The 20,290-nt window shown below is 44.2% G+C and overlaps 1 protein-coding gene and 1 pseudogene across 5 annotated transcripts in view; both read left to right on the forward strand.

The window, feature by feature from the left end:
- SASH1 (SAM and SH3 domain containing 1) overlaps window positions 1-20,290 on the forward strand; it is a 358,577-nt gene that overhangs the window by 75,898 nt on the left and 262,389 nt on the right. For 3 of the 5 annotated variants that reach the window (XM_017010600.2, NM_001346505.2, XM_047418497.1), the window contains exon 1: window positions 2,963-3,012. The exons of the other annotated variants lie outside the window; for them this stretch is intronic. In XM_017010600.2, coding sequence (XP_016866089.1) covers window positions 2,992-3,012 — 21 coding nt within the window. In that variant the 5' untranslated portion in view covers window positions 2,963-2,991. Of the gene's footprint in view, window positions 1-2,962; window positions 3,013-20,290 lie in introns of those variants that run through there. 5 annotated transcript variants of the gene reach the window in all.
- RNU6-1222P (RNA, U6 small nuclear 1222, pseudogene) lies at window positions 9,307-9,413 on the forward strand (annotated as a pseudogene).

Genomic DNA, 20,290 nt, shown 5'->3' on the forward strand with positions numbered 1-20,290 from the left:
CTCAAGCAATCCTCCCACCACCATTTCCCAAGTAGCTAAGACCACAGGCACACACCATTATGCCCAGCAAATGTTTCAAATAGTTTATAGAGACAAAGTCTCACCATGTTGCCCAGGCTCAAGCGATCCTCTCACCTCAGCCTCGCAAAGTGCTGGGATTATAGGTGTGAGCCACCACCCCCAACTAGTTTGTTTAGGGTTGTAATTTTTTATACTTTCCTGTTCTTTGTTGAGTCATTTCATTGTCAGATTGCATGTTTGATTGCATTGTTAGATTGCATGTTAGGATGCCCACCCTGATGGCCTCATTTGATTTTAATTACCTCCGTAAAGATCCTATCTTCAAATAAGGTCATATTCTGAGGTATTCAGTATATGAATCTGAGGGGTGTGGGGGGGCACAATTCAACCCTCAACAGTAGTATTATACATGATTATTTTAAAGATTGTTCCTGTATCCTCAAATCATAGCTGATAAATGAAAATAAATTCTGGAAAGAAAACCTTAATTGTGACGATGGTCTTTGGAACAGGACTTTACTGGTATTTGGCAGGTGAGTGTGTACCTCCCACAAGTGTGAAAATGATCATCTCCCAGTTAGCTGTCTCCCAGTATACAATTATTTTCTGCCGTACACCATAGACCGATATACACTGATGTTATAGATTTGGCTTCTGTGCTCCTAAGAGCCAAACTCTATAGCAAAAGCTGTATTCAACGGGGCAGAATTTCTCTTTTGGTTGCTGGGACAGCAAGAGGATGGACAGACTAAGACCTTCCTGGTATAGACAAGGAAACAGGCCAGAAACAGGGAAGAGGGTGGCAAAGGTCACAGGGCTAGTTAGTGGCAGCCCTGGAACTAGATCTTGGGTCTCCCAACTCATAAGCCGGTGCTCTTTTACCAAACCACACTATCCTCCACCCCGGGTATCCCTCACCTTACCTGCCAGCTATCAAAACCACCCACTGCTCGCTGGCAATATATGCTTTTCCTTACTGACTTTAATATTTTAAAATTTTTTTTTGTATTGAACTGATCCTAATTGCTAAATAAGTGCATTACTGATACCGATGAGCAGAATTAAAATTGGGGAGTTATGCCTTTGGTGATTGTTTCCCTAAAAACCTGTCAACCCCCCAACCAAAAAAAGCTAGGCATCTAATTTACATAAGGTAGTGGGTTTCTTGACCCTTCAGATCCAATTTTTTGGCTAAAACTTGCTTTATCAGCCAGAATTGTAGATATATACTCCAAAGTGGAAAAAAAAATTTGTCTGAGATGTCAAACTAGTGGCAGTTAGTGATTACTTTTGAAAACAAAAAAACAAAAAGGCTCTTACCTTCTGTTTTACCAGTTCTTGGTTAATACACCATCACTGATATTAGAGGTTTGGATTTTAGATATCTTCAACCTAATTCAGCCACTTTACAAATAAGGAAATGGTAGCCTGGGCAATGGCATGTCCAAGGCCACTCAGTTAAAGAGAAATCTAGGGACAGGTCTTTGTCTCTGGGTCTCTGGACATCTCATCCACAACTTTTTTTTTTTTTTTTTTTTTTGAGACAGAGTCTCGCTCTTGTCGCCCACGCTGGAGTGCAGCGGCACGATCTTGGCTCACTGCAACCTCCGCCTCTTGGGTTCAAGTGATTCTCCTGTCTCAGCCTCCCAAGTAGCTGGGATTACAGGCGCCCGCCACCATGTCCGGCTAATTTTTGTACTTTTATTAGAGACAGGGTTTCACCATGTTGGTCAGGCTGGTCTCGAACTCCTGACCTCAGGTGATCCACCTGCCTTGGCTTCCCAAAGTGCTGGGATTACAGGTGTGAGCCACCGCGCCCAGCTCATCCACAACTCCTAATACCACTGCTACTGCTGCCTAATGGTTATGTTAGCACATTCCTAAGCTACAGGAAGTTTATTTTTCCCCATGAAGATAGGAGAAATACTAACCCTAATGTTCCTTAGTGACTTGATGCTTTACCATGTAGCTCTGTTATGTCACACTCACAATATTAATTTTAAAGAATAGACTGTTTTCCAAATATATGTATTTAATGTGACTATCTTCTGACTATTCACTGATGTTACCAACACCTAAACTTACTTGTGTAGGGAAGTGCCATGCACATTAACTTTTAATATTTTTTAAGACTGTATAAAACTTTTGTTTTATTTTATTAAAAGGGAAATGTTTCTATGTTTCCTTTAGATGTCTTCAAAATTCATGTTTTTGTAACTTCTTTTCAGGGTTATTAAATCAGGTTAAACTAGATTAAGCCCCAGCGAAGGTGTTTCAGAGTTTGAAGCCTGGCATATCAGCCAACTCTACAAAGTGGTCTCAGAACAGAGGACATTCTGAGATGTACAGTCCATTGATGAACACTAATCCTAGAACATTAAACTTACCGTGTTAAATGGATTTCTGGAAGTTTCTCTGTGGAAGTCTTGGAATAGTCCTCCCTTCCTTTTCTTGAGCCAAGAAAACTCTGAACCAGAACAATTCGATTTCAATTTGTGGAAAAACTATATTCAATGAGCCAAACACCGTGCTGAGAGTTTTGTAGGGGGCGGGAGAAAGGGGCATTTGGATCACTGTTGTATGTTAGTTACTAAAATATCTGGATTTCTATTTAAATGTTCTGAGATACATTTTCAAGCTTTGTTTCTGAGGGGTATTTGCAAGCTTCATTTTAAAGTCCGAGAACCCGAAGAATGAAACTCGCTTTTGTGTCATAGTTATTGTGTTATATGTTAAGCATTTGGAAGGGACCCCAGTGAGGCCTCAGGAAGCAGTTACTGCCTCTCTTATCGTCCTGAAGGCGATTTGTTTTAAAGTTGATAATCCCTAGGGCTGTGAGAGTGTCCCACATCTGCCCTGAATTGAAAACAGATTCCCATTTAGAGCCTTACATCAGTGCTGCAGATTCATGCGATCTGAGTCAGAGAGGAAGTCAGAGACCATTTGAACGTATGGCCAGCAGCTCACTTCATGGAGGAACAAGATTGCAGGGTATGTAGGCTGTCTGTTTTCAAATTTTAAGACTGTTTTTGGTGCCTTCTGACATTTAGACTGATATATTCAGGAAAGGACTATTGTGGGAAACAGGTATAAAGTAACTGTCAGTATCTAGGGATTTTCAGTGCTACTGATGAATTCATCAAAATTCCGAGGGCGCTAGGCAGTGACTGCTTCGGAATTCCTTCACCGGGCTTTGCCATTTTTGTGACTTACCATTCATTATATAAGATATATTTATATAATTATGTAGATATTTATTTTCCCCCAAGACTCTAAAAAAGGTTTTGTAAGCCAAGAAAAGTTTTTCCTGTTAAAGACCAGAGCTTTTCCAGCCTCTACTTATCTATGAAAACTTTTTTAAAGATTTGCACACACGCTAAGAATGAAGGATGTAACGATGTATTTCATGTTGCAACCCCCAGGGGATCGGGACCATCCGATTAACCATTTAGTATCTCATATTTTACTGAAGGAGTTTTCTTCTCAGGTTGCTGAACAACTTTGTTTCCGTCTTCGTCTTCTCTGTGGAAATCGTATTCTACAGATTGTGAAGGTCTTTTCTTTTTTAATTAAAAAAGGGGTTTATATTTGGGCTGAACATGGGGGCTCATGCCTATAATCCCAGAACTTTGAGAGGCCGGGGCGGGAAGGTTCCTTGAGCCCAGGAATTGGAGACCAGCCTGGGCAACATGGCGAAACACTGTCTCTACAAAAATTACAAAAATTAGCTGGGCATGGTGGCATGCAACTGTAGTCTCAGCTACTTGGGAGGCTGAGGCAGGAGGATCTCTTGAGCCCAGGATTTCTGGGCTGCAGTAAACTATGATCACACCACTGCACTCTAGCCTTGGTGACAGAGTGAGATCTTGTCTCTTCTTTTCTTCTTCTTTTTTAAATTTTTCTTTCTTTCTTTTTTTTTTTTTTTGAGACAGAGTCTCCCTCTGTCATCCAGGCTGGAGTGCTGTGGTGTAATGTCAGCTCGCTGCAACCTCTGCCTCCTGGGTTCAAGCAATTCTCCTGCCTTGGCCTCCTGAGTAGCTGGGATTACAGGCACCTACCCCCATGCCCGGCTAATTTTTGTATTTTTCATGGAGACAGGGTTTCACCATGTTGACCAGGCTGGTCTTGAACTCCTGACCCCAGGTGATCCACCTGCCTCAGCCTCCCAAAGTGCTGGGATTACAGGCATGAGCCACCACACCCAGCCTGACCCTGTCTCTTAAGAAAAAAAAAAAATAGATTTGTTCATGAAAAATAATTAAAGAGTACAGAGGTCATGAGGTAGAGTCTGAGAGCCCAACCACTCAATGCATGGGTGCTGACCCCTGCCTGGCCTGAGGGCCTCTCCTGCCCCTTCTCTGCTTCTGGCCTGGGCTTTGGCAAGTTGAGGCCTCTCAGGTGGGCTTCTGGAAGGCTGCTTTGCTCACTACTGTCTCTGAGGAGCTGAGAACAGTGCCTGGTACTGTCGGTGCCCAGTCAATACTTGTTGAATGAAAGTAGAATTAGAGAAGGGAACTCTAGAAGAAATTAGAATTAGAGAAGGGAACTCTAGAAGAAATGTCAGTTTGGGCATTTAACCTAGTGAGGCTTTGCTTGGGCAAATTTCTCCTTGCCATCTTGGTAGGATTGCAACCAGAAGGAGAGACTGGGTCATTGAGAGAAAAGTGCTAGACTGCCAGTCAAAGCAACTATGTATGAAACATAGAATTCCACGGTCATGGGATGAACAAAGCAAAAAATGTCTGAAATATGAGTTGTGAGAGGTAACAGTCATGCCCTAGAGGGTGCTCAGGAGTCCAAGGGAGGCTGGTAAATGGGAGAAAGTGAACAGACATGGCTGGCAGGTTCTCCTTTCAACTTGGGGCAGATGGACTCATCAAAAATCTTCCAACAGAACAAAGCCTCCTCTTGTTACATGCGCTTTCCCTGGTTTCAGAAACAATACGTTCAGAGCAGCCTAGTTGGCAGGTAATGTTTTCAGTCCAAATGCCAAAACTCTGGTCCCTCTTGACTGGTTGCCCGCAGTTCTTTAAAGAGGGAAGGTTTTTTCAGGTGCCAAAATTTGACTGCAAACTCTGTCATGGGACTATGCCCTCTTAATCCCAGCAAGACAGAGGCTTTCTTTTAGAAAAGGAAGCAAGCACATTTGGGTTTTTGTGCTGAGGATGCAAAAAGATGTATTGATCAACTCAGACAGAAAGGGGAATTATCAGCCTTAGGAATATCGTTCCTGTCCTAAAGAGACAAGTGAATGAGCCTTGAAATCTATAGAGACAGTTCCAGTTCAGACAAGCTTCCTTTGTGGGAGATGATTGTGTATATGTCTTATTTTAACTAACCTAATTAATCTACCTGATTAATTTATCAACCTCAGAAGTTTGGGGAGAAAATAAAATCAGTGTGGCAGAGACTTCCACAGTGATACCTGGATTATAAATTTACTGTTACCTCAAAGAAAATCCAGATCCAAAATCTCTCTGCCTCTTTTCCAGTAACAAACCCAGCACATCTTCATTTAGGGCAATATCCTCTTGCCCTGCCCCTCCTCTAATTTACAGCCCCATATTTGGACACCAGGGATTCAATGACCTACCACCAAGGCACCAATGGGTGGTGCCACCATGCCAATTCACAGAACTCGTGGCTCTTCAGAAGTTTTGTAAGCCATTGTTTAGAATTCAGAACACATTATCACCCAGAAACAAGGTTAGGCTCCAGCTCTACTCCTGAATGCAAATTTATCCTAAAATACAGAGAATCTGCTACAAGCATCTGGAAAGGGGAAGAAAGAACTTGCGTCATATTGTTTAATGGCATTGGAGAATATATTTTACAATGAATGGTAATAATGTTCTCAAGAGCATTTTTAATATCCTTGAGAATTCATTCTTGGCCCTGGACATCATTTGTTTCTTGGTCTGGACCCTAACCACCTATTCTAGGTGCTTTGTCTCCTGCTGCTTCCTTGAATGGTACCCTAGGCTGAAGTCCAAGAAAATTATTTGTATGTACTTTTCCACTTGTGGTTTCTTTTGCCTAGACTGTCTTATTCCTCTTCTAATTCCTGGCAAACTCTCGATCAGCTCAAACATTCACACAGTTAATACTCTTCTGTGATGCCCCAGTCAAACTTCCACCTCTCTACTCCCTTGGCCACAAACCCCTCTAAGAAAATTTTGCAGACAGCTTCAAGTGGTTCCTCCATTGACCTTCCAAAATTCCAAGGACCCCAGTTCAAAACTCTGCCTAGGAAATATTAGAAATTCCCCTCCCTAGCTCGCTTGCATTTCCATAAGATCTTAAAAGTACCGCTATGTATTTACATTAATCACATTATATTGCAATTATTTTGGGGCGTGTGGTCTCACTCTGTCACCCAAGCTGGAATGCAGTGGCATGATCATGGCCCATGGCAGCCTTGAACTCCTAGGCTAAAGCAATCCTCCTGCCATAGCCTCCCACGTAGCAGGGACTATAGGCATGCATGATCACACCCAGCTGATTTTTTATTATTTGTAGAGACAGGGTTTCACCATGTTGCCCAGGCTTATCTTAAACTCCTGGTCTTAAGCAATCCTCCTGCCTCAGCCTCCCAAAGTGTTGGGATTTCAGGCATGAGCCACTGTGCCTAGCCTACTTCTACTTTTTTGTGTGGGAGGAATTATGAGTAGTGGGAAGAGACTGGAGCTTAGAGTTAGAGAGTATAGGCACCAACACTGGCTCTCTGATTTCCAGTTGTGTGGTCTTGGATAAGTTAATTCTCTCTCCATTTTTGCTTTTCTTCATTTGTAAGATGAGAGTAATACCTGCCTGTAAGGAGTTGTTGTAAGGATTAAATAATAATCCGTGTAAAAGCCCTAGCCTAGTGCTTAAGCCATACAAAGTGAAAGATAAATGTTAATAAAATATGATTCTAAATTTGAAATGGTGGACATAGAACTCTGAAGCCAGAAGGAACTTGCGTCTCTTCTGTCCAGCCTTGGACTCTCTCCTTTTGTGACTCACCCCCTTCAGTTTGAGGCAGCATGTCAGTAGGCTAGCATTACCTTTTTACAGCCACTTCTCAGATCACTTCGGTGACTAAAATAAAATAAAACCTAGAAGAGTAAGAGAAAAGAGGAACAGCGCCCAGTCGATTTGTAAGTGTGCGAAAGAAAAAGTAAGCTAGGATGGAGGAAGAGGGAACAAAGTATATGCAAAGGGAAAAGGGAGCGGATGATGAGAAAGCTGAGGGCAGGTAGTAGCAAAGGGAGACAGAGAGAAGAGAAACTGCACCACTGGGAAATTGCACTTCCAGGATCATAGAAGAAGCAATTGTTCATTTAAATATATACACCTGCGAGTGCACCCCTGTGCATTTTTTTACCCAAGAAGTGCCTTGTGTAGTTCCAAGTACTTCACATAAATAATCATGGTAGCCTGACACAGTGGCTTGCACCTGAAATCCAAGCTACTTGGGAGGCTGAGGCAGGAGAGTCACTTGAAGCCAGGAGTTAGAGACAAGCCTGGGCAATGTAGCAAGACCCCCATCTCTAAAAAATAATAATAATGATGATAATTATGCGTTACTAAAACTTACATACCATTTACTATGTGCCAGGCACTGTTCTAAGCTCTTCAGACATATTAACTCATTTAATCCTCACAACAACACGGTGTGGTAGACACATAAAAATCCCTATTTTACTGATAAAGAAAGGGGACACACGAATAGTCCCATAACTAGGATATATGGGAGCCAGTATTTGAACCCAGAGAGTCTGCCCCTGGAGTCTTGCACTCTTAATGGAAATGACAACCATCACGCAGAAATGCACCTGCAGCTGAGGTGGCTCCTGGCGTGGTCAGGTGGCCAATGTGGCCACTACAGTCAACAGCACAGTAAAGTCCAGCCTGTTGGACATTCCCACTGATATACTTTCCAAAATACCACGTTAACAATACCATGCTAACACCTGAGAAGTTAGAATGGTAGAATTGCATGGCATGGAGAGACATTGGGTTCACCGTGCTCCGACCAGCCAGCTGCTTCTATTGAGAGTGCCAGGAAAAGCTGGACCCAGGGTCACTGGTCAAACTCTCTGGGGAGAGACACAGGGCAGAAGTGAGTTGATCTCAGCCTCCCATATAACACTGCAGCGTCAGAAGGACATTATCCTTATTCCAGGTAATGTCCAGGAAATTCTACAAAAATTCTTTCCGAAAGTTTGCAGACATTATTATGTTGACACTCCAATAGTTTTCCAAATAGGAAAATAAAGACAATTGTGCTTTATTTTGAAGAACCATCTATTTTGACCTACTTAAAAGAGAAAAAATATGCAGGGTTTTGTTTTGTTTTGTCTTTTGAGACAGAGTCTTGCTCTGTCACCCAGGCTGGAGTACAGTGGCGTGATCTCAGCTCACTGCAAGCTCCGCCTCCCGGGTTCAAGCGATTCTTCTGCCTCAGCCTCCTGAGTAACTGGGACTACAGGCGCGCGCCACCAAGCCCAGCTAATTTTTGTATTTTCAGTAGAGACGGGGTTTCATCATATTGGCCAGGCTGGTCTCAAACTCCTGACCTCGTGATTCGCCTGCCTCACCCTCCCAAAGTGCTGGGATTGCAGGCGTGAGCCACTGCTCCCGGCCTTGTTTTGTTTTTGTTTTTGTTTGTTTTTCTGTTTTGTTTTTTTGAGACGGAGTCTCGCTCTCTCACCCAGGCTGGAGTGCAGTGCATGATCTCGGCTCACTGCAACCTCTGCCTCCCGGGTTCAAGCGATTCTCCTGCCTCAGCCTGTCGAGTAGCATTATAGGCATCCGCCACCATGCCCGGCTAATTTTTTGTATTTTTAATAGAGATGGGGTTTCACCATGTTGACCAGGCTGGTCTCAAACTCCTGACCTCAGGTGAACCACCAGCCTTGGCCTACCAAAGTGCTGGGATTACAGCCGTGAGCCACCGCACCCGGCCGGGAGAGGCTTATTAAATGTCTGCCCACATCTTGGTCTCCATTTTTTTTTCTCATTACAGCCTGGCTGGGGAACATCTTACCTAAAAACTCATTCATGCAAAATTCTATCTCCTTTGGAGCATTTTTAGGTCTTTTCACATGTCCTGGAAAGAAATACTGAATTAAATTAAATTTTAATTTTAATTTAATTTACTTTTAAATTTAATTTAAATCTTGAATAAAAGGCCTTACATAAACTGACTAAAAAGAGCTTAACTATGCAAAAGTAGGTTAAATAGAACAAGGCACTTTCAAGTATACAAAACAATCCCATCATTAGAAAAAAGAAAATTCTGGGCTCACTTCAGCAGCACATATACTAAAATTGGAATGATACAGAGAACACTAGCATGACCCCTGTGCAAGGATGATGTGCAAATTTGTGAAATGTTTCATGTATTTCTTAAATAGTTAAAAAAAATCTGCAAGTGCAATAAATACGTAATATAAACACTAAATTAAGTTAGATATGCCCTTGGAGGAACTAATTATTTTCATCACTAAACTGCTCCCAAATGCCAAGAAAATATAGAACACTAAAATGAAACCTAGACTCTCAGACTCTCAAAGGTCTAGAGGTTGAATTTTAAGCAAACTCTTCATTGAGCAAATGAATCTTTTTTTTTTTTTAATAGAGGCAGAGTCTCGCTCTGTTGCCCAGGCTGAGTGCAGTGGTGCGATCTCAGCTCACTGCCACCCCCGCCTCCTGAGTTCAAGCAATTTTCCTATCTCAGCCTCCCAAGTAGCTGGGACTACAGGCGCATGCTGCTATGCCCGGCTAATTTTTTGTATTTTAGTAGAAACGGGTTTCACCATGTTGCCCAGGCTGGTCTTGAACTCCTGAGCTCAAGCAATCCGCCTACCTCGGCCCCCAAAAGTGCTAGGATTACAGACATGAACCACCGCACCCAGCCAAGCAAATGAATCTTTAAGAAACTGTATTTAGGCCACCTGGCTACTTGGCAGGGTTATTGTGAGGATAACATGAGATTTAATGAATGTAAATCTCCCAGGCTAATGCCTAGCACATAGTGGACACTGACTCAATAATACTTTGTTGAATAAATGTTCAATCACTTGGCCAAGCCAACTCAGCTATCCCGTTAGGTTCTGGTTGCCATGGGGTAGCATGGGTTATCATCATGGATAATTCTAAGATTACACAAAAACACTTCCTAGAAAGAGCAATTCGCTGGGAAACAAAAATCCCAGAATGCTGAGATTTGCTTTCTAACCTTTTGCAAAAGGGTAAATTAGAGTTATGACTGAGTTGCTCTGAGAATTCAATGAAATTATGTTCATCTATCCATCCATCATCATTTTAAAAAATATTGATTGTCAGGAGTGGTGGCTCACACCTGAAATCCTAGCACTTTGGGAGGCTGAGGTAGGCAGATCACTTGAGTTTGAGGCCAGCTTGGCCAACATGATGAAACCCCGTCTCTACTAAAAAGACAAAAATTAGCTGGGTGTGGTGGTGCATGCCTGTAGTCCCAGTTACTTGGGAGGCTGAGACAGGAGAATTGCTTGAACCTGGGAGGCAGAGGCTGCAGTGAGCCAAGATGATGCCACTGCACTCCAGCCTGGGTGGCAGTGAGACCATGTCTCAAAAAAAAAAAAAAATCCTCCCCCTGCAACACTCCCCCCTCCGACATTCCCCCCAACATTCCCCCTAACATCATTCCCCCCCATCATTCCCCCCCGACATAACAAAAGAAAAAAAAGATTGTGTATTTTCAACACGGCAAGGATTGTTCTTGTGCTTGGTTGATGGTGGTGAACAGAACAGCCAAGGTCTCAGCCCCATGGAACTTACACCCTCCCATGAAGCACTTCACATGCAAGTCCTGCCATCACCTAGCACTAGAACCTGCCTCTGGGTGGTTGCCCTGGAAAGAGCAGTTACCTTCGAAGTCAGACTGATGCTCACTGCAGGCCAACCTCCACCACTTGGCAGCTATTCACCTGTCAGAGTTCAGTGTCCTGGGAAAAGCTTCTGAGCCGCAGTCCTGGTCCACAAATGGATATAATAACACTCACCTTGCAGGGATTCTGTGAAGGTGAAATGAGACATACTGAGTAGAAAGTACAATATGTGGCACATACTAGGTGTTCAATCCATGGTAGCCCTTCATTACCTTGATGAACAAATAGATCAAAAGAGGATCTAAGGACCCTCACAGGGGTGAGCCACTGTACCCATCCCTAGGATCGCTTGAGCTCAAGAGTTTGAGATCAGCCTGGGAAATAGAGAGACCCCGTCCCTACAAAAAGAAAAAAAATTAGCTGAGTGTGGTTGCACATGCCTATAGTCCCAGCTACTCGGGAGGCTGCAGCAGGAGATTCGCTTGAGCCTGGGTGGTCAAGGCCATGGTGAGCCATGATGGCACCACTGCACTCCAGCCTAGGTGACAGCGTAAGACCTTGTCTCACAACAACAACAACAAAAGAGACAGAGAGAGAGAAAGAGAGAAAAAGACCTAGTGCCGGCATAGAGAATATGGCATGTCATTGTGAAATTTCAGAAGAGTAGGGTTAAATGGAAGAGTGTTGTTTTGTTTTGTTTTGTTTTGTTGTTTTGTTTTGAGACAGAGTCTTGCTCTGTCACCCAGGCTGGAATGCAGTGTCATGATCTTGGCTCACTGAACCTCCACCTCCCGGGTTCAAGCAATTCTCCTGCCTCAGCCTCCCAAGTAGCTGGAATCACAGGCATGCACCACCATGCCTAGCTTTTTTTTTTTTTTTTTTTTTTTGCATTTTTAGTAGAGACAGGGTTTCACCGTGTTGGCCAGGCTGGTCTGGATCTCCTGACCTCAAGTGATCCTCCTGCCATGTCCTCCCAAAGTGCTGGGATTACAGGCGTGAGCCACCGCGCCTGGCTGGCATTGACTTTTCAACAGGAACACCAGCATCCAGGAAACAACAGCCTGGAGATTCTGAGGGCAAACGATTTCCGACCTAGAACCCTCAATTAAGGGTCAGATGGACTAGAAACATAGAAGGAGTCAAAGCATTTATATCACCTACACCCCTTATCTGCAAGCTCCTGGAGGATATGCTCCACTAAAACAAGGGAATGTGCAAAGCACAACCAAGTCAGACAGGGAGGGCTCCAGGAGGCATGTCTCAAGGAAGAAATGGGACCGACTCATGAGCCTGATGACTTCAGCCTCCTGTGAGGTGTGTCATGGTTCTGTCAGAGCTCGGAGCAGAATAATGGACAGGGACATAGAGAAGTGACCGAATTTTAAAAAGAAAATTCCAGGCCGGGCGCGGTGGCTCACGCCTGTAATCCCAGCACTTTGGGAGGCTGAGGTGGGTGGATCATGAGGTCAGGAGATCGAGACCATCCTGGCTAACACGGTGAAACACCGTCTCTACTAAAAATACAAAAAAATTAGTCGGGCGTGGTGGCACGTGCCTATGGTCCCAGCTACTCAGGAGGCAGAGGCAGGAGAATTGCTTGAACCGGGAGGTGGAGGTTGCAGTGAGCCAAGATTGCACCACTGCACTCCAGCCTGGGCGACAGAGCGAGACTCCGTCTCAAAAAAAAAAAAGGAAAAAGAAAAGAAAGAAAACTCCAAGAAAGAAAAAATAATGAGAAAAGAAATGTGACTATAGTACACAATCATGTCAGCACTGGTATAAATGAAACCATAAATTAGAACATAACTGTCATGGCCATGGAGGTAGACCACGAAGACCTCCTTTTGAAGGACAATCTTGAGGGAAGTATCCCCACTTCAGGGTCCACAGCTATCTTCACAGAAAGGTCTCCGCCCGGGGCTACAGTCAGCCAGTGGCTGAGCCGGGCAGGAAACTGGCATGGCCATTCCTGCACACTGCAGGACTTCTCCAATGGGCACTCTTTACTCTGGGTCTCCCCATGGGCCTGGCAGTGAAATTCTCAGGACTACACTGAAGTCTAAAGCTCTTCCCATTCAACCTCCTCCCTTGCTGCTCTCCTTCTCAGGCTCCATCCTTCACAGGCATCCTGCCCAGGAGATTTTTTTTTTCTTTTTTGAGATGGAGTCTCGCTCTGTCGCCCAGGCTGGAGTGCAGTGGCATGATCTTGGCTCACTGCAACCTCTGCCTCCCGGGTTCAAGCGATTCTCCTGCCTCAGCCTCCCAAGTAGCTGGGATTACAGGCGCCTGCCACCACGCCCAGCTAATTTTTGTATTTTCAATAGAGACGGGGTTTCACTGTGTTGGCCAGGCTGGTCTTGAACTCCTGACCTTGTGATCCCCCCGCCTCAGCCTCCCAAAGTCCTGGGGTTACAGACGTGAGCCACCACGCCCAGCCTCAGGAGATCTTACGCATTTCTAATTCTGTCTTGGGGAATCAAACTGTCAGAGGAACCGAACTAACACAACCACTATATTAGGAGGAGAGAAGGAGAATTGGGGGCTAGAGGCAGAATACAGTGTTAGGTTCTTTTATTTCAGATGCGGTATCCTTTCACCAATCCACAGTCCAACCCTAGTCCCCCTCCCCAAACTCATTTCTCCGTGTCATCAGAACTGAGCTGCAGCCACTGGTTCTAAGCATAGCTCATTTGTCTGCCAGAGAAGACACACCTAAAGATGTATCCAGAGAACGCCTGGAGTCAGGAATACATCCATGTATCCCAAGGAGGAGACCTGAAGTGATCCCAAGCCAACTGCTTCCCAATTTCATCTGGGGACTCCCTGCCAGAAAGCTTAGAATGTGCTTGCAGTGAAGTAATATTAGAAGATTTACTTCTTCCTTCTTGGGAGACATCGGCAGCTGGTCAAACTAGTGACATACTGTCCTCCCGTCTAGCTGAGTGCGCCAAATGAAGAGGACAGGGACAAAGAGCAGAAAGAAATGACTGCAAGTCAGCTCCTTCCTCCTCCTCTCCCCCACCTCCCCCACAGCTGCGACCACTGTTCTGCAGCCGCTTGGGTCTTGAGACAGCTGCCCCAGAGGCCCCCAGACTCCTGCTACATACCTTCCTTCCAGAGCAGTCAGGCTGGGTGGAATGTAGGCAGGGAGGTAGGGGGTGTGTGCATGAGTGTGCCTGTGTGTGTGTACGTGACAGAAACCACACAGCATCACAGCACATGGTCATAGAAAGAACAAGAGTATTCCGGCTGGGCGCGGTGGGTCACGCCTGTAATCCCAGCACTTTGGGAGGCAGAGGAGGATGGGTCAACTGACGTCAGGAGATCGAGACCATCCTGGCTAACAAGGTGAAACCCCTGTCTCTACTAAAAATGCAAAAAATTAGCTGGGTGTGGTGGCATGCACCTGTAATCCCAGCTATTTGGGAGGCTGAGGCAGGAGAATCATTTGAACCCGAGAGACGGAGGTTGCAGGGAGCCAAGATCGCACCACTACACCCCAGCCTGGGTGAAGATCGAGACTCTGTCTCAAAAAAAATGAGTACTCCCCACTTGTGTGTATCTGACTACCTGGCTCTGATACTAAGCCAGTGAAGAGCTTTCCTCATCTACATCTGGTCTTACAATAGATGGAGCAATACAGGAACACACTGAATTGTTTAGGGGGAAATATCATATCTATGTAATTTTTTTTTTTAATGAATAACCAGGAAGAACCAGAAATTCCAAAATGCCTTCCCTTCACCCTGAGTGTTAGCTATAGTCCATTAGCAGGAATAGCACATTATCCACTTCAGGCCAAGGATATAATCATTCCAATGACCACTATAGGAACCTACCCGAAGATTTTTGATGACAAGAACTAATAGGCAGGCTAAATTTTACAATTTTTTTATTATATGAAAATAATACATGGCCAAGCATGTTGGCGCACGCCTGTAATCCCAGCAATTTGGGAGGCCGAGGCGGGCAGATCACCTGAAGTCAGGAGTTCGAGACCAGCCTAGCCAACATAGTGAAACCCCGTCTCTACTAAAAATACAAAAACTAGCCAGGCGTGGTGGCACACGCCTATAGTCCCAGCTACTCAGGAGGCTGAGGCATGAGAATCGCTTGAACCCAGGAGGCAGAGGTTGCAGTGAGCTGAGATCATGCCATTGCACTCCAGCCTGGGTGACAGAGTAAGACTCCATCCCAAAAAAAAATAAAGTAATACATTTTCTACTGTATGAAAATTAAAATTTATAAACAAAAACAAAATAACCATAATTGCATAACCTAACCTAGAGGTACCCATTGCTTTGTTTCCTGTTAGTCTTGTTTCAAAGTATTTTCCAGAGCTTTGAAATCTTATTTTATACATAATTTCATATCCTAATTTTCCACTTAAAATATTATCAAATGAATTTCCTCGAACCATTACAAACTCTTTGAGAGCATCTTGTTTTGAAGTCTGTATAATATTCCAACTCATAGAAGTAGCTTAATTTGCCCAATCATTCTTCTTTGTTGGACTTTTAATGTTATTTCAAGATTTTCAAATTTAAACAAATGCTATAATGAACTTTTGGCATATAAATCTTTATCCTCATTTCAGATAATTTTCTCCCGATAGAGTCCCAATAGAAATGGCACTTCTTGGCCAAAGGGTATGAACGTTTTTAAGGCCAAATAAATCTTTTTAAAGACAGATTTTGAAAATTTTGTTTAATATTTAATACTTTTTCAAACAAAACAAACAAACCAACAAGTGCATGCCCATTACCCATTATTTGGCTTAAGATAACATCTTACCTCCACAGCTAATGCCACTCCGGACCTCTCCCATATCCACGCCCCCTCTCTCAACTCCAAAGGTAGCCATTATTCTGCATTTGTGTTCTTTGGATTATTTAAAGGAGCAGAACTTCAAGGATATATGGTCTTCCTGTTAGAGAATAAGAGAGAACAAGAAAAAGGGAGGGAGGGAAATGTTGAGCCCCACAGAAAGACTGGTTTGAGGTAGGGCTGCCTGCCCTGGAGTCCAACCTCCAATACTTGCCATCTCTGGCCTTAGAAAAGTTGCCTTGCCATTTCCAAAGTCCTGTTTGTTTCCCTGGAAAAGAGTTCCTATCTCCTTGCTATGGTTGTGGCGTGTGTTAATCGAGATAAGCATCTAGCATCCTCCAAGGATAGAACATTACTTTACAGAGTAGCCTCTGGCTATTGGGGGCCCAGGGAACACCACTTTCTGGGATAGTAGCTAGAGAACACTTTACAGGTTTTGTCCAGTATTGATGCTGCCCTTGCTATTTTTCCCAAAGCAGTGACAGGCTGTTTTGGTTTTTTTTTCCTCTCTCTCTTTTCCATAATTTTCCTTAGGTTCTAAAACAGACATTGATCAGATCTTTAAGAAGGGTTTCCTACAGGTAATTCCAGTAGAAGATGTTTCTCCCCTTTCTTTACTTTTCAAGTGAAAAGTGAAATGTTCTGAGCATATATCAGTCCTGCAACCCTGGACTTATTTCACTATGTTCTAACCAAATGAGAAAGGAAGCGCCAACAGTTTTCAATGCAAACACATAATTAAGGTAGTAAGATGTCTGAATTATAGATTTGGTGATCTACAATCAGCAGGTGCCTCAGATTCTTTCTGTATTACTGAAGTCTCTGGTTGCTTGCATGGGTTGGAAATTAAAGGAATTATAAGCATTAAAGATTGAAGTTTAGTTCTATAAGGAACTTTAGCAATAATCTAGTGATAGTCAATGGATGTTAACTTTCTTTTTTAGAAGCATCTCTAAAATTATGATTCTCCTCTAAAGAATGTACCTTTCTCTAAAAAGTGCCCACATGCACATCCACATAAAATCTTTACAAACATCAAGGGATTTGAGATCTCCCTGAAGCTGATTCATGGACCCTCCATTAAGAGTCCTGTATTAGATCATGCCACTGCACTCCAGCCTGGGCAACATAAAAGACTTTGTCTCTAAAAAAAAAAATAAAATAATTTTTAAAATAATTCCATTAGCTGGGCGTGGTGGCGTATGCTTGTAGTCCCAGCTACTCGGGAGGCAGAGGCAGGAGAATCACTTGAACCTGGGAGGCGGAGGTTGCTGTGAGCCGAGATGGTGCCACCGCACTCCGGCCTGGGTGACAGAGCTTGACTCCATCTCAAAAAAAAAAAAAAGAATTCTGTATTAGTTTGCCTAGGGCTGCCATAACAGAGAATCACAAACTGGGGTGGTGGAGTGGGGAGCTTAAACAACAGAAATTAGTTTTCTCACTGTCCCAGAGGCTTGAAGTTGGAGATCCAAGTGTCAGAGATGAAGGTGTCCACAGGATTGGTGTCTCCGGAGGCCTCTCTCCTTGGCTTGAGGCTCGCTGTCTTCTTCCAGTGTCTTCTCATAGCCATCTCTGTGTGTGTCTATGTCCTAACCCCCTCCTCTTCTAGAAGGACACCAGTCATACGGATTAGAGCCCACCCTAGTGACTCATTTTAACTTAATTACCTCTTTTAAAACTCTGTCTCCAATTACGGTCATATTCTGAGGTCCTGGGGAGTAGGGTTACAGCATATAAATTTGGGGGGATGGGACACAAATCAGCCCATAACAAATCTCTAAGCTACTTAGGGAACTGCAACCCAGAGCGGTCCAGAGACTCAACCATGCACTCACATGAATGTTTAGCAGCAGAGGCAGAACCACAGCCTGGGGGTCCCATCACCCAGGCTTCCATACCACCCTGCACCCTCTCCATGCGCTTCCTCAGACCACAGTGTGCTGCTCCAGGAGCCTATGGGTGGAGTCCAGAGGGTCAGATTTGAGGGATGAGATGTGAGTGGAGGTGCCGTTCTTGCCCCAGGTCTCTGATGGCATCAGGAGGAGACTTCAGCTCCAGAATGCTCTCCTTCCTCCAGATGCTTGGGCAATACCCAGGACAATACCCCAAGAAGTCAGCTCCTAATGATGGCTTCTTGAGGATCAGTAGGGCAATTATGGGGTGCTGATGTGAGCCAATGTGCTCTTTCCTCTACTATCAGTATTCAGCGTCCTCTGGGCCAATAGTCCCTACGCCTTGGAAAATTAAGGATTTTAGTAACAAATATTTAGAATCTATCGGCATGTTAACATTTAATGTCTTCAGTCTTGGTGTCCAGTGGCCCCTGCTCTCTCTCCTTCAAGGTGTGTGTCACATCTTTTCCAGGATCCTTTGAGGATGGTCACACCCCCTGCCACCATGGCCACAGTCTGTCTCCCCGGTAACATCCATCAGAGATGGCAACTTGCTGCTCTGGAGCTGTTGCCTCAATTCTGTATTAAATCTATTCTAATGCTGTCTTTGAATGTCTGTATTTAAGATTATTTTATTATGGGTCTGTTTTTTGAGCAGATTGTTACTTCACACTTCACTTTCTGTTCTGTGTATGTGTGTGTACATGCCTGTAATCAGTGCGTGCGTGTGTGTGGGGGGGTGGGGGGTGGTATTCCTCTGTTGTTTGCAACACCTCCCAGTTGGGGATCATTTGTAAATTTAGTTAATGAGCATTTAACACATTCCCTTTGATGAAGCTGTTAAATCTGAGTGCACACTGGCATCCTCCCAGACATCTCCCGTCTCCCAAGCCATTTGTGTTTCCCTCTTCTTAGCTGCTTAGTGATGGTTTCTTGTTTGTTGGTACAGTATGGAACTAACCTTTAGTCCTCTCTGGAAAAAGTAGGGCTTGAGTTTTGTAAGAAATGCTCACATCTGTATTCAAAGCAAGTCCACTTTTTTGGTGGGCTTTCGTTCTCACCAAACAAAATAAACTGCAGACAGAAAAGACGTTTCATCATCGCCCTAACTGGCCGTGCTTGTGGCAGTGGGACATAAGCTATGGCTGTCGGCTTTTGCAAGAACAAGCACCAAGCTGAAAACCCGCGGGCCCCAGCTGTCAGAGAGTTTCCCTGGATTTAATGATAACTTGATCTCTGAAGAGGGAGTGTATGTCAAGTGTGCTTTTCAATCACTTAGAGAAATCAGAGTAAATGACAGAGCGGCCCTGGGATTCGCCTGTGCGATGAGCCCTCATTACCGTCTCCTACAGTAGAGGCATCACGGGAATCAGCCCAACCCTGTGACAGTGGCAGAAACACAGGCTGTCTCCAAAGATGTAGAATTTGAAAAGAAACAGCCCCCAGATGTCTGTAAAAATCAATTATCTAAAATTCAGTATAATTAAAAATATAGAAATAAACCAGAGGAAGGGGTTGAACTACCTATGCATCCGTACATGAACCAGGAAGCCATCTCTCAACAGAAACAATCCTGCTACTACTTTACTTCTTATCTACCTCATGTGTGGTCCTTGCTTGCTATTCCTGACTTCAAGAATATGTGACTTCTATCATTTCCTACACCTCAGCAAATCCCACGCCAGCACTAGAGCCATCACAGACACACACGGAATACACACGTGTATGTACACACACACACACACACACACACTTTCCAGGCTGAGGCCACTCTAAGATCAGAAAAATGTCCTGGTAGTAATTAGATTGACACTTCCAACCTGGTTCTCAGCAGCTAGCCCCGGTGTCTGTGTTTCTAAATGTGAACACCACATGTTGCTCAAATTATTGACATCAAAGCCTGGTTACCAGACAAGACTGGCCAGAGAGATTTCACCTCCTACCCTTTAGGTTACTAGAGAGGCAGTAAAGTGGAGACAGCTGAATCCCACACGGTGCACAATTTAGGGCATGCCTGTGCCCTTTTTCTTTTTTTCTTTCTTTTTTTTTTGTGACGGAGTTTCACTCTTGTTGCCCAGGCTGGAGTGCAGCGGCATGATCTTGGCTCTCCACAGGTTCAAGCAAGTCTCCTGCCTCAGCCTCCCGAGTAGCTGGAACCCCTTTTTCTTTTTTACTGTGTAAAACGAAACAAAACAAAGCACTAAAACACAACATCAGTTTCAAGGGATTGTTTGTTTTCATTCCCAGCCCAGGTCACCTCACAATCCATAACTGAGAAGCATTTTATACTTTGAGTTGATGGAAGGCAAGAAAAGAGAAGGGAGGGATGGCCGGTGTTGACTCAGGGCAGGGCGAATGGTACACTTGGTGCCAACACCCCACTGGTCCCTTCCTGTGGAAAGGCGTGAGCCTATCTAACTTCACATGCCTCACGATCTCCAGCCTACAGCCTCTAACCTCATTTTGTCACTATTTTCTTTTCCTGTTGACTTCAGGGTAAAAGGCAGTGAAGTGGTCAGAGGAAGGTCTGCCCCTTACGCATCTCTGGTGGATTTGTCTGGATTTTTCTTCACGGTAACCAATGCCTTTGCCATGGTAAAGTAAGTTAGAGCTGGCTTTTTGGCAAAGGTTTCTTTTTAAGCCTGATTAGCCTTAGAGACATAGACAATTGTTACTGATAAGGCTGTCAGACTT

The sequence above is a fragment of the Homo sapiens genome, chromosome 6, assembly GCF_000001405.40.
Source record: "Homo sapiens chromosome 6, GRCh38.p14 Primary Assembly".
NCBI classification, from domain to species: Eukaryota; Metazoa; Chordata; class Mammalia; order Primates; family Hominidae; genus Homo; species Homo sapiens.